We start from the raw sequence: 14760 nt of genomic DNA, 5'->3' as shown, positions 1-14760 counted from the left end.
CTTACATCACGCTCTAGCTGATTGGAGCCCGGAGTCAGCTGGTCCAGCTTAGTTATTCACTCCAGCAACTTCGGAGATCACGGATGCTTGCAGTTCGGTGGGAGAGAGCAGCAAGTGGGCTCAGACACCTAATGCATTTATCCAGGTGGAGGAGGCTCTTGCTATTAGACAGGAAATCGTGAGATCCTTGTTTTCTCTTCTTCAGAATGCTGGCTGTGGCATTTCAGGAGACCACTAAATGGCTTTCGGCAGTAGCTTTGGGTCAAGCCCCATCTGAAGCAACTATAAGGTCACAGTGGCTAAGTAAATCAGCGGTGACAGACACCTCTGTAAAAGGCAGCCGCTGACTGGGATGGTGAAAAACTAGGGCACAGCTGGTCAGCCAAGCAGCACCACTATGCCTGGCGCTCATCTCTTCCAAAGGCATCAAAGAAAACAAAAATGTAGCAGAACACACATGCTGCCTGCAAACCTGAAAACGGAGGGCTCAGGGCAGCTGCTCTCCAGCCACCAAACCCTTTACACCTCCCAGCATGAAAGCCCATTCATTTACATAAATACCTGCCCTTCAGTTCCTACTAGCTCAAAGACAGAAACAGTTTAATTTCCCTCATGATAATAACTTAGTTCTGCTGATACCTGACCAAAATGTAAAAAGGTTGGGTGGAGGGGATTCTAAGAGCCATCATTAGTTGGAATATTTAACCTATGTATAGTGTATAAGCAGCTAAAGAAAAAATTCCCATCGTGCAATTTCACAGTCTGTCTCAGCTTGTTTACTCCGTTCATCCTCATCTTATCTCAATTGAAAGCAACCAAGAGATGAATATTAAGTTTTCATTACTGGCATGGCACAGGAGTAACAACATACGACACTACCAATTCATAATAAATTATTCCTCCTTGGTGTCTATTCTAAAGATATTTAAATTGAGAGAATAGTTTGATCCTGAGAGAGATACAAGGACCAACTGTACTTTGTCTAAGAACGACCTCTTTCACTCTATCCATTAGAATAATTATTTTTCTTGAAAGTTAGGAAGACAGGTATAAACATTTTTTTAAATCACTAACTCCTGGATTTTACTTAACCCAGTTATCTAGTGATGTTTAAATGTGGGAGAGGGGAAGGAAGTGTCTAGTGGTTCCCTACCCATTCACCTGCTATTCCACTGGTTTTCCATCTCTTTCTGTCTGTCAACACACTAATACGCTTGCTCTCAATTGATTAGATTATGTCATTAAAAATAGCTCAGGGATTTATGAATCTAACCACTGAGGAAAATTGATTGCATTTTATGTTCCCAAACGGTCTTTGCATATATCTCCAGACATACAAAGAGGAGCCTGTCAAGAAATGCCACCCCAGCAGAGAAGGGTGTCAGGGTGTTTTTCCACTTAGGCATGTTGATTTGATACCACTTAAGGAAGAAAACCCCAGAGAGTTTTTAGCTCTCGCTTATATGTGGAGGAGTAATATCATCTCTAAAGCAAAATACAGCACAAAAACTGGTCATTCTTCAAGTCAAAGTGTATCAACGAATTCTAGCACAAATGAATTTTTAAAAAAGATTTTTAAAACTACGTTTTTTGTTTAAATCAAAGGACAAAAATAAAAGAAACAAAAGCCACTTAAGAGAGGAGAAAGGGCCAGCCTTGTTCTATCTTTTGGCAATCTGTAATGCTGGTGGAGAACAGACCCCCAACCTTCACAGGCTCACCTGCACTTTAATCTGTTCCTGCAAAGAGAAAATCTGGCTCTTCAGTGAAAACGAAGGGAACGACAATTGTTGCCTGCTTTCTATCTCAAGTCACCCTCCTGAGAGAGGAGCACAGAAAGTTCCCTGAATGTCAAGAGTTGTTTTAGACAAAGCCTTGGCAGCAGCTCCGAATATATTTACCAGCTTACAGTGTCATTGCTATCTGCCCACAGAGGCAAAAGGAAGTCCTGACAGATTTTGGAAAAAATCTTGACCCAAGAAGCTCAATTTTTAAAAGCAAAAGCCAAGCATGGTGTACTCATATACACTTCTACTCTGAGGACTACAATCTTCATTGTGCTGGTCCTTCTAGAAAAACTAGGGTCTAGAGGAGGGCAACAAATTCCCACTACAGAGAAAGAGACGGGGGATTGGGGGGGGTGGTGGGAGGACAAACCAGTTTTCCCCTTGAAACACAAATCGGGTCATCAGGAGAACAAAACAAAACAGGTAGAGAGCCCAGAAGTATCTTTTCTGTGACCAATCGTGTAAGCTAGTTGGAAGTACTATCAGAAGACATTTCGAGGACACACTGTCAAAATGTCAGCTGACGTGCATGCATCTTAGGCACTCTGCAGCTCGAGGTGTTTGGGAGGTGGTGGGAGTGATAAATAGGAATCTGGCTAAGGACGAAAAGTATGTTTCTTAACAAAGGAATATTTTGAGATAAAATCTAAGTGAGTGTTCCACCATTAACTAAGTCTAAAATGAGGATTATGACCATCATACCATCAAATCTAGTATGAAAAAATATCGATTACCTGTCAAAATGTATCATTTTGAGAAGTGATACACATACATTTTAAAGAAATAAAACCAGCCAGAGGCAAAAACATTTGGGACAAAAATGAAAGGCTGCTGAAAAATAACATCAAGCAATAATGGCTTAGCGGAGGGAATAGTAAAAGGAAAATTGCTACGTTTACCCTTTGCTATATATTTTCTCATCAAGATAAGCCATGTGTTAAAATGCAATAAAAACTTCAAATGATGACACTATTCACAGGTAATAATCAGGATCTAGCCTAATTTCCATTAATAAACTCATTTTTCCTGTGATTTTATACCTCCATGGAATATATTCACAATATTGTGAGTCAATTCACAAAGTACCAGCCTCAATATGTATTGCTTTTACATGTGTATTCAAATCATAAAATCTGGTAGGCTTTGTCATTAATTGTAATCTAAAGCCAGGGGCTTTGCAGTATTTCATTAAAAAAAATTACCTGTATGGATACGCCACATGCCCACTCTATTATAGGCATAATTTACTTCCTGGAATACTCAAAATCCATGGTCACTGTAATAAAGGTCAAATTTAAATTTTAAGAATTATTGCAATTAAATGGTTTACAGAAACAAAAACAATTCCAAATACCAACTGAGAAAAACAAGGGGGAAAGAAAACGTTTGGTTGAACACATTTCAAAAAAGCGTATATTGAGATTTTGTAATATTGTCCATGGTGATGTTTGGTACAAGGATATGGGTTCCCCTCTGATTTACACGGCCAGATATTTTTCACATGCAGTCATGTGCTACATACTGACATTTCAGCCAATGATGGGACACATATATGATGGTGGTCCCATAAGATCGTAATAGCGCTGAAGACATCCTTTTGCCTAATGACACCTTGATGATCCTGACTCTGTGTAGGACTAGGCCTGTGTGTGTGTGTGTGTGTGTGTGTGTGTGTGTGTGTGTGTGTGTGTGTGTGTCTTAGTTTTTAACAAAAAAGGTTAAAAAGTTAAAAAATACATTTCTAAATAGAAAAAAGCTTAAAGAAAACAATATTTTGCTACAGCCACATAATGCATGTTTTAAGCTAAGTGATATTGCGAAAGAATTTAAAAGTTTTTAAAATTAAAAAGTCTATAAAGTAAAAAGGTTACAGTAAGCTAAGGTTAATTTATCACTGAATAAAGAAAAATATTGTTTATAAATTCAGTGTAGCCTAAGTGTACATTATTTGTAAAGTCTACAGTAGTGCACTGTAATGTAGGAGGCCTTCACATTCACTCACCACTCACTCATTGACTCACCCACAGCAACTTCCAATCCTGCAAGCTCCATTCATATGTGCCCTATACAGATATAAAATATCTTTTATATTGTATTTTTCAGGTATGTTTTCTATGTTTAGATACACAAATACTTGCCATTGTGTTGCAAATGACTACGTATTCAGTACAATAACATGCTGTACAGGTTTGTAGACTAGGAGCAATAGGCTATACCATCTAGGTTTGTGTAAGTACACTCAATGATGTTCACACAACAATGAAATCACCTAGCAACACATTTCTCAGAACATGTCCTTGTTAAGTGACGCATGACTGTACTTAGAAATAAGTTACCTCTCTTCACTAGTTCTGTGTTGGTTACCCCAAAGTAAGCAAATCTTCCGATGTTACCCATTCTTCAGTAACTGAAATGTTCATCGAGGAACTGCTGTGAGGAACATTTGAGGAGTTCCCACTCCATTCCACTGGCCTAATCCAGCCCCATCCAGCAGCTCTCGCTGAACTGCCTATCCAAAAGCGATGGGAGCTGAAGTCGGAGGGCAGTGGAGAGGATTGTCCTCTGGTAAAGTTGTTTCTCCCGCCACACTAGCCAGAAGGAAGAGTGACAGAGGAGTGTGACAGAGAGGAGTACCACTGTGTTGCCCTGCCCCTCGTCCCACCAGTCAGAGTTCTTGGTGTGCTAGGAATGTGATTTCCAATACCATCAGTACAATCTGGGGTGGGATCTCTCCTAAACATCTTCTTGCGTTAAGTGTGACCGTGATCACTACTTCTCAACAAGGTAGACAGCCATAAAGTAAATATTCCGTTGGTTACTTGTAGACAACAGACCAAGGGTTCATATGTCTCTCTAAATGTTCATTCAGAGGTAAGTCAATATGGCCAAGTGGATGAATATCTCCATTCATTCACTGATTACTTCTTTCCATTCATAGATAGCTGCCAGTGGCCAATGAATATGTTGTATTAGCTCATAAAAGATTACAAAGGAGAAACAGATGATTCATGAAAATACATACATCCATTATTGTGATTATAATCATATCTTGAATGCCAAAGAGCAACACAGCTGTGAGATTAGTGTCTACATTTAAATTCCTTCTTAATTTTTGTACTTTATTTTCCCACATGTTTCACTTCTAAATATTAATAACAATGGCCGGCCGGGCACCATGGTTCACACCTGTAATCCCAACACTTTCAGAGGCTGAGGCAGGTGGATCACCTGAGGTCAGGAGTTCGAGACCAGCCGAACATGTTGGTTGGAGACCAACATGGTGAAACCCCATCTCTACTAAACATATAAAAATTAGTGGGATGTGGCAGCACACACACCTGTAATCCCAGCTACTCAGGAGGCTGAGGCATGAGAATCTCTTGAACCCAGGAGGTGGAGGTTGCAGTGAGCCGAGATCGCGCCACTGCACTCCTGCCCGAGCAACACAGCAAGACTCAGTCTCAAAACAAAACAAAGGCCAACATTTGTTGATCACATTACGTGCCGGTCATTGCTGTAAGTACTTTATATGTATCATCTCATCAAATCCTCACCACATAAGTGAAGAACCATTATAATCCCCATTTCACAGATGAGGAATCAACACTCAGAGAAGTTAAATAACTCCCTTAGATTCCACAGCCAAGCCAAGGTAGAAGTAGTGTATTAGTCCATTTTCATAATACCTAAAAGAACTGCCTGAGACTGGAAAATTTATAAAGGAAACAGGTTTAATTGACTCACAGTTCAGCATGGCTGGGGAGGCCTCAGGAAACTTACAATCACGGCAGAAGGTAAAGGGGAAGCAAGCCACCTTCTTCACGACATGGCAGGAAGGAGAAGTGTCAAGTGAGAAGGGAAGAGCCCCTTATAAAACCACCAGATCTCATGAGAACTCACTCACTACCATGAGAACAGCATGGGGGAAACTGCCCCCATGATCCAGTTACCTCTATCTGATCTCTCCCTTGACACATGGGGATTATGAAGATTATAATTCAAGATGAGATTTGGCTGGGGACACCAAGCCAAACCATATCAGCTGGGATAAGATACCAACCTTGGTCAGGTTGACTCCAGAGTTTGGGCTCCTAACACCATGCTCTACTGCCTCTTGGAGTTTAAACAAAGAAGGAAACAGTGCTTTCAAAGTGAATTCATAATGTGAAAGGTGTCAGATCCTTTAGCTCCTAAGGAAAAATGAGCATATCATAAGTTGTCAATGGTCAGAACACCAGAAAGAACATTCTGAATCCCCAATTCTCTGAGCCATGTGCCTATAAGAGAGAAACGCAGCAGGGCCCCAGCTACTTTAGAGGGGAAACTAGAGATACCCCCCTGGGCAGGAGGGGTGGAGGAAGAGGGCTGGTCAGAAACAGGCTTCTTTCTACTTTCCTCTTAAATGTCTCTGGGCCTCCACTCTGAGTTTGAACAACTCTTCATCCTTCTGACTTCAAAATTATACAGTCCTAAATATAACACATTTATTTACAATCAAGTGGATTCCACAAAACCAAGAGCACCCTTTCCATTGCCATGCCAGGCATAATACACATCCCTGCTAACTTGCGGGGGTTCTGGCAGCTCTTCATTTTCTAGTCTGATGCTTTTTCTGGAACTTACCATTGAAGGCAACTCCTTAATTCTCTTTCCTTTTAGGTGAAATGACTCAGGGCAAGGCTGCTCACTCTGTTCTGAGCAGTTCTGGGAAGAAAGGAGGAAAAACCCCAACTCTGACATCTGCCTTGATTTCCTGGAAGCCATGCCTCCCCAGTGTACTTAGAAGTACCAGGTGCTGAGAGCCAGTCCCCATGCAGGCTTTGCCAAAGAGAAACTCGGCAGGCCGGGCAAGTCCCTGAACTTCCTTGAGCTCTGGTTTCTCATTTGTAAAATGAAAATATTATGGGCTTATCATCAGGAAGCTGGGGAAGTGAAGAAGAGGCAACCTTCTGGGAAATTGAGAAACTGGTCTCACTGCCCTCAAGGTAAGGGCAGCCCATGCCCCTCACTGGGGACACCTGGTCCCTCCCTACTGAACCCACAGTCCTGTCTCCCAACCCTCCCCATCTTCCTCCAGGCCATTACCATCTCACCAAGCATCTGCTTCACACAGCTGCTCAGCTACCTTCCTGGCTTCAAGGATCCTGCCCTGAACATGCTCAAGGCTGAGGAGGGCACCGAGGTTTCCCAGCAGCCCCTCCTCAACACCCAAGTCAGACAGCAAAGCTCAGAAACCAGTGATGAGCTGAGCCTCACATGCCTAAAACACACACTACAGCATTAATGTTCACTCTGAGAACAGGTTAAATCCTTAACTGAGGTTGACATGAATCTTTATTACCATATAAAATTAATGCCATAATATTACAATACTACCGCCTGCTGTTATTAATGGCTACTCTTTAGGAATATTTACTATTCATTAAAGTAACATACAAATGAACCAGATATTAATTACCAGTGTCATCAAAACTCAAAAGTAAAATGACACCTGGAAACAGGTTCCACAATATTTAAAGTACCAGGAGATATTACACTCAGGAACAAATACCAAAACCACAGATTTTCTTTCCCTATATTTTAAAATAGTCATTTGAAATTTTAAAATAAAGTTCTAACCTCTAAAGTTAACAAAGGTAAAGAAACAGCAGACATGTACTGTATATGTCTTTTTCTCACCAAATAAAACAGACTTTAAACCTGTCAGAAAGACTAAAACAAGCGGCAGTCTGCCTTCCAGGGAAAGTAGGAATTTTTCCCACTCCAAATAAAAGAGAGGGTCTAACACCTTCCCACTGATAATACACCAAAGTCTGAATTTATCCAGAGTAGCATTTTCTAAAACACATTTCATTTAGCAAAAATTGCAGGTGGGATCAGTAGCAAGCATATGCCTATGAAATATGCCGCATCCCATGTTTCCTGTGTTCAGTTTTCCTTCCCACTTGCAATCCTGAAGACTTCTTAAATGTATGCGATTGGTGATTTCTACAACGTAACATGCATGATTTTGCTTAAGGCTTTTCACAAGAAAGCTATATTGCCTTGACGTTTGCATCATCTTTTTTTTTCTCTTATTATTTCTGGCATATTAGCCATCAAATCACTACTGACAATATGACAGGAATCATGGTATTGAAAAAATTACATCCTAGGAGGAAATAATAAAATATAAATCACATACATAATTTTCTTTTGAACATTTTAACAATGACACCCTTATATACATATGAAATATAGCAGACTATCCTCATAAATGCCCTAACATCAATCACAGCAGGAAAATATTCTCTACTTTGCAAACACACGAATCCAACAAAATATAGCATTTCTAATAAAACTGGGTAATAGAACTTCATTTTTTTCATATGAGAGTGTTTATGAAGATCTGACAATTGGAAATAGCTCCAATATATATTTTTTCAATTATGTCCCTTCATGTCTAAATGATGCACAGCTAACGCTGGGACCATGAACTAATATTTAGCAAAGTCCCATATGTCATATTAATACATAGATTAAGAAGAGAATAGATGAGTGAAGTGATGTTGGCAGTATTGTCATTGTATGATACCTATCAATTGAAAAGCTTTAGAAACTCATATGTTAACATGTATATTTACTGAAGATAATACTACTGGCATCATCTAAGTATTTTATGAGCTTCTGAAACACAGATTCCTACAATTATCCCTAAAGTGAAAAGATATACCTAGAGATAAAAGATCAAGGAAAATTATTATTTTTTTAATTTTGTACTCTATATTCCAAGTATAGCTACTACATCAGAGATTAGAAAAGCACATTCAGGCTATACATGTATTTAAAAATCCCATAGTGGCTGAGTGCAGTGATGCACACCTATAATCCCAGCACTTTGAGGGGCTGAGGCAGGTGGATTGCTTTAGCCCAGGAGTTCGAGACAGGCCTGGGCAACATAGTTTGTAATGTTTAAGAAGTTTGAAACCCCATCTCTACAAAAAAAAAAAAAAAATTAAAAGAAAAAACCCCACAAAAATTAGCTGGGTATGGTGCTGTGTGCCTGTAGTCCCAGCTACTTGGGAGGCTGAGGTGGGAGGATCAATTGAGCCTGGGAGATCTAAGCAGCAGTGAGCTGAGATTGCACCAGTGCACTCCAGCCTTGGGGACAGAGTGAGACCCTGTTGGAAAAAAAAAAAAAAAATCCCACAGTGAGGAGAAGCTAAGTTCTAGGTTAAATGCACTGTTGCCTAGCCAAACTTCCCCCCCAAAAAAACAAAAAATGTAAACACAAAATGGAAAAAACTCTGGAAAATTTTCTAAGGAGAAAAACCAAGCTGGTCACCCTGGAATTTAAAATATGATTGACCAAAGACATACATGTTAACTAAAATTAGTATGGAATCCCTCATGTGAATTAATCAAGCATTCTTTCTTACACCTGTGTCTTTATATTGACAGGCATTACAACACAGATCTGAAGCGCCTGTGCAAGCTGACTATTTTAAACCCTAAGTTTAAGATCATGTCTTCAGCCTTAGTCTACCTAGAGGCATTACGTTAAATGAATTCTGAGATTTTGACCACAAGCTTCACTCTGATCTTGTTTGCATTACACACACATAGCCAAGCACTTCTGGTGACTTTCACCAATATTGAGCAGCCAAATAGGTTTGAGAGGTATATATAAATTATTTTTTTTAAATAGCTAAGTTTCTTTCAGGTAGCAATGCAGAAGGCTAGATGTTCCCCCATGAATCTTGCTCGTCATTCCACCAGTCCCTGCATTTGGTTTGACTTCCTATCATCCTGCACTAACATGTCATCCACTTCAGACACAAATAGAAATGAGGCTGCCACCTGCCAACTAGTTAACAGTTAACAGTTGAAAGAGAAGTGCTCCCTGAGACTCTATCACATCACACGGTAAGCAATGTGTGTTCCCCTTCTCTATGACATTAACTCCGTCTTCTAGCATCCCTTAACTCTTTTTAACACAAAACGGGCTCCAGATTCTATCTCATTAATCCTCATCAGTTTCTTGAGAAGTAGAAAGAAAAGAGACCGGTCCAATTTACCAATGAGGAAAGTGAGACAATGAGGTTCCAAGAAGAGCCCAAGGTCATGAAAATAGTAAAAAAGGCAGAGCTAACAAGAGAATTCAGGCTTTGTATGCCAGAACGAAGGGCCCAGGTGGCCGCCATGTTCCTGAACACCTCCCCTTTTTCCTGCACTTTCCTCATCCTTCTCATCACCACTGCAGCAGCAATCCAAGGGCAAGCGCTGCCCTGCAGAACTTTCAGATAGACACACAAACAAATAAAAAACCAAATGTGCACGTACCCACACATACATATGCATATAGTGGGAGAAACAGAAGCATTAAGTGAAGATCAGACCAAGGAGATATACATAGGAAGAAGTCACATTAAGTATCACCTGAGGACACAGTATTTGTATTTATCTAGTTGAGCAAGAGGATGTGGAAATTACAATGTTTAAACTACAAGGGCACAGACCATAGTGAAATCTGTTCTGTTTTTTTTTTTATTTTTAGTGGCAAAATTTCTCTTTATACTACAAAACCACAGAGTCAAGCATCAATACTCAAAATACCATGTGATTCTTGGGGTCAAGGTATACATTGAGTCCATGGCTCTTCCCTAAGACTCTGATGAGCAGCTGCTCTCTCTTTTGCCTTTCTCCGTCTCTTAGTTCAAGAAAAGCAAACGTATGCCTAGTTTTCTTAATAACATTTTAAAATTATAAAAGTAATAGATGTCTATGGTAGAACATCTGGAAGATACAAGAACACCCTAAAGTCATATCTAATTTAAATGAGCAATGATTTATAACCAAAATGTACATGCACTCTTATGTATACAGGACCTGGAAACTACTATTAAATGTTGTCTTTAAAATAGCTCTTAAAGTAAAATTTAAGGATGGCTTTCTTTTACCAAAATCCATTTACAGCACTCTTCCAAAAAATGACAGTAGACGTTTAAGAAGTTTGATCCTTCTGGAAGTTGATTTAACTTCTTGGATTTATTTTCTCTCTAGCTTATATAAGAATTTAATAGGGGCTCTAGCACATTATCCTTAAAAATCAAGACAATCTATCTCAAGTTTTATACACTGATATAAAGTCCCTCTGTTCTGTTTGAAATCCCCAGCTCATTCATTTATATTCATTAATCTTAATGATATCATTAATGCACAATGTGTTTCACAGAAACTAATTGTATTTTGCCAGAATCAAACATTCACAATTATGCCTCCCATTATCACCTAATAAAATAAAATAAAATTTAAAAATTCTCAGGCACGACAATGAATATTTTGGTATATTAACTGATTTGCATTTTTAATGCTATAATAAATTGACCAGATTATCATCAATTAGATAAATTAATATTCTTTAAGTAAGGCAATGGGGAATTATTTTGTTAGAAATTGACAGCACTTTACTCTCACTTCCTTGAGCTTTATTGAACATAGGCTTAGCCCTCTTTGTCCCCTTATCTAAAGCTGGCTTTTGTGACTCAAGCTAATACCACACAACAGAACATATTCTTCTTTAATTTTATATACTTATCATTGCTTTAAGCAATGACAGGAGATTAGGGAGTCAATGGTTTTTCAAGTAAAGGAGAACTATCTACCTGGGCAATAAAAATGCCCTGAGTCAGAAGTACATGAATCGATTTGTTTAAATCATTGTATTACTATTTTGTTTTATCCCCTTGATTCAAAAGCCAATCACTAAATATCTACTATGAATCAGGCATTATGATGGATGTTAAGAATAGACAGAGGAAAAAGGCTCAGTCCCACCAGAATGCAGTCATGGGGTCGCAAGACACATGGATAAACAAATAAAATACAAGGAGATAAGTGGAGACCCAGGACAAGATACTCCAGGTGCTGGTGGGGCAGAAGCACCGAGGAAGGGAATAACTCAGAAGGGTGGGTAGAGGGTAAGGGTAGGTTTGAGAGACGAGGTGAACAGAGTCCAAAACAGTAGTTCTCAAATTTATCTGCACATTAGAATCACTGGAGGGTCTTTTATAAATTTCAAAAAAACTAAGGCCACAAACAGGCCAATTAAATCACAATCTCTGGAAGTAAGTAGTTTCTGAAGTCACCCCAGGTGATCCCAAAGTGCAGACAAGTTTAGAAATCCCAAGTCTAATGGAAGCAGAAATTCTAAGTGGGGTAGAGGATGGATGGGGAGCTGGGGGAAGAATGCCAAGCCCAGAGAGCCGCATGTGCAAAGGCAAACATGGGTAATGGAGCTGAAAATGCAGTGTGATGGCAGCCGGGGTACAGTGGGCCTGGCTCCTAAAGGCAGCCATTCTCTCCAACCTCAAACCATCCTGGACTTTGATACCTGTACAGATCTACAAAACCAGACCCCACAAATTCTGTCCCTTTCTCTTTCCAGGTTCGCAGAGTATAATTTCCTTCTGCTTACTACACTCTTACATAAAACAGCTCAAATACCTAAAAGACTTTCCTACTATGTTCCTGTAATATTTATCATAAATGATTATAAAACTTGAGGAAAGGTGAGGGGATGAGAGAGGTGATTGATTAGAAACAGAGGGAAAGGAAGCACTGATTCCTGTGGCCGTGAACAGGGGTGCCCAGTCTTTTGGCTTCCCTAAGCCACATCGGAAGAAGAATTGTCTTGGACCACACAAAAAATACATGAACACTAACAATAGCTGATGAGCTTAAAAAAAAAAGAATCACAAAAAAAAATCTCATAATGTTTCAAGAAAGTTTACAAATTTGTGTTAGGCTGCATTCAAAGCTGTCCTGGGCTGCGGGTTAGACAAGCATGCCATAAGATAATATTTTTAATCTCTTTTCACCAAAGACTAGCATTTGCATGGAATGGCAGGGCACTTTTCCTCAATCTTCCTCTAAAATTGAAGTTCAGTGAACTGGATAAGTCCTGTCTATCCTGGCTTTACTGAAGACATTACATGACTCAATTATTAAAAGCTAACAGGTTCCTCCTCCTTTTCCTCCTTGAGGTTTCTCTAATGCCACCTGAACCCTGGTGATGATTCCATACTTTACCTGACAACCCTGAAAACCTGTCACCACTCTCCTCTGGGACAGCAGGTAAGGACGTTTGTGAGGAGCCTGTTAATTGTACACTTCAACTGTCCTCTAAAGAAAACTGGATTCAAAAGGATGTATGTATCCTGTTTTACCTACAGACAAACCTAATAAATTAAATCTGATTCTTATTTGTAAAGCAATACCCTAAGCCATCATAAATAATACCAGTTTCTTTAGGGGGAAAAATAAAATAAAATCTGAATGCTTTACCAGAAAGAAGAATTTTTTAAAAACGTTATTTGTCTTCTGAAATACAAGGAAAGCAGTCTCCCCTTACACTCCAGGGATAAGTTCCAGGATGCCTGGTGAATGCCCGAAACCACAGATAGTACCAAGCCCCATATATACTGTTTTTTTTCTATTAAAATATATACATACGTATGATAAAGTTTATAAATTAGGTACAGTAAGAGATTAACAAGAATAAAATAGCACAATTATAACTATGCTGTAATAAAAGTCATGTGAATGTAATCTGTCAAAATACTGTACTGTATTCACCCATTTAAACCACAGAAAGTCAAGCCTCAGATAAGGGGGGAATATGTTACTAATTTTACTGCTCAGTTTTCAGAAGGGATACTTGGATTAAGAAATAGAAATGTCGCTTCCTTTATATGCTTCTAAAGAAGTATTTTTAAACATTTTGGTATAAAAATCATAACTAATATGTGCTCAGCATGGAGTTATTCATTTAGCTATGTTTAGTTGTGCATGCAATAAGAATTACTGATAATGCATTCTAGCAACATGAAGTCTATTCCTTCAAATGTAAGTTATACCTAACATGTTCCACTAATTTTTTAAAAAGTTACTGGTAGGAATCCCTCTAGCTCAAGTATGCACCATTTTCAGAACATAATTCAAATATATAAACCTAGGATGTCTAAACATCTTCCATACGTTATTTTATATACTCAGAATGCTAGCAAGATTAACAGCATTCTCTTACTTGCAGCAGTGATCTGCAGCCCAACTTTTGTGGGGAAAAAAAAAATCTCTAGGATGCATCATAAAGCTTTTTAATTTCAACAAGTCTATTAGCATTTAAAAAGTTCTTCCTGGCAATTTTGTTACAATGAGAGAATTAGAATGTTTTCTTCCCCCAGTTGACTTAGCAAATCACCTTGCACGTAGGGCATACCTTTATCTCACATGCTTGACAGATACATCTTTTTAAAAATCCCCAGTATTTTTACCTCCATCCCTTGCAAAGGAGATTTGCTGATGTGCCACCTAGTGGACAAACTACCACCTTCATCAGTGCATTTCACCTTGTCTCTGGAGATGAAGATCAGAAGAAATATATTTCAGAGGATCATCTAATGAGAAATGCGGAGCCTGTCCCATCAAAGGTGCTCTAGAAGGTGATGCTCTGAATGAGCCAGAAGGGACTGCTGGCCTCTTTTACATATCTGTGGCTGCTCCTCATACTTGATTAGGCGCAAGGGAGGTAGCCAAAGGTAAAAAAAGCCCCACAACAGGAAAATGCTTGCCCGAGGCCATAATGAAAGTGATCACCTCCCTCCCACGTTGATGACCCAGCATCCAAGAGCTCCCTAGCACTGAGGAGGCACAGTGAGCAATTCTTTATTTTTCCAAATGTTTGAAGTACATGTTGATCATAAACAGGTTATTCTGATTTCATAATTTGTTACTAGGCCAGGTAACATCACAAAACTGAAAAATATCTCCTTCCCTAAGGTCCCAGGGGAGAGAGAAGGAACAGAACAGCACTGTCTGCTCCTGAGAAGTGGCCCCTGGAGGCCCATCCTCCTCTTAACCCACACAGGTCCCCCGGATCAGGTCCCCCGGATCAGGTGAAGCAGAAAGTGTTCAACTCCTCTCTCCTGACTTT

The 14760-nt window shown here is 39.4% G+C and overlaps 1 protein-coding gene across 11 annotated transcripts in view; it reads right to left on the bottom strand.

The window, feature by feature from the left end:
• The window catches only part of MAST4 (microtubule associated serine/threonine kinase family member 4), a 573201-nt gene that overhangs the window by 340848 nt on the left and 217593 nt on the right, over positions 1–14760 (bottom strand). Inside the window, exons 1-2 of one of the 11 annotated variants that reach the window (XM_017009452.2) lie at positions 5848–6483; positions 6–3063 (exon numbers count right to left, since the gene is read on the bottom strand). The exons of the other annotated variants lie outside the window; for them this stretch is intronic. The gene's annotated coding sequence lies outside the window, so the exon portion shown is untranslated. Of the gene's footprint in view, positions 1–5; positions 3064–5847; positions 6484–14760 lie in introns of those variants that run through there. 11 annotated transcript variants of the gene reach the window in all.

This window comes from Homo sapiens, chromosome 5 (genome assembly GCF_000001405.40).
Source record: "Homo sapiens chromosome 5, GRCh38.p14 Primary Assembly".
Lineage (NCBI taxonomy): Eukaryota > Metazoa > Chordata > Mammalia > Primates > Hominidae > Homo > Homo sapiens.
This window is presented reverse-complemented; position numbering and strand designations above follow the sequence as displayed.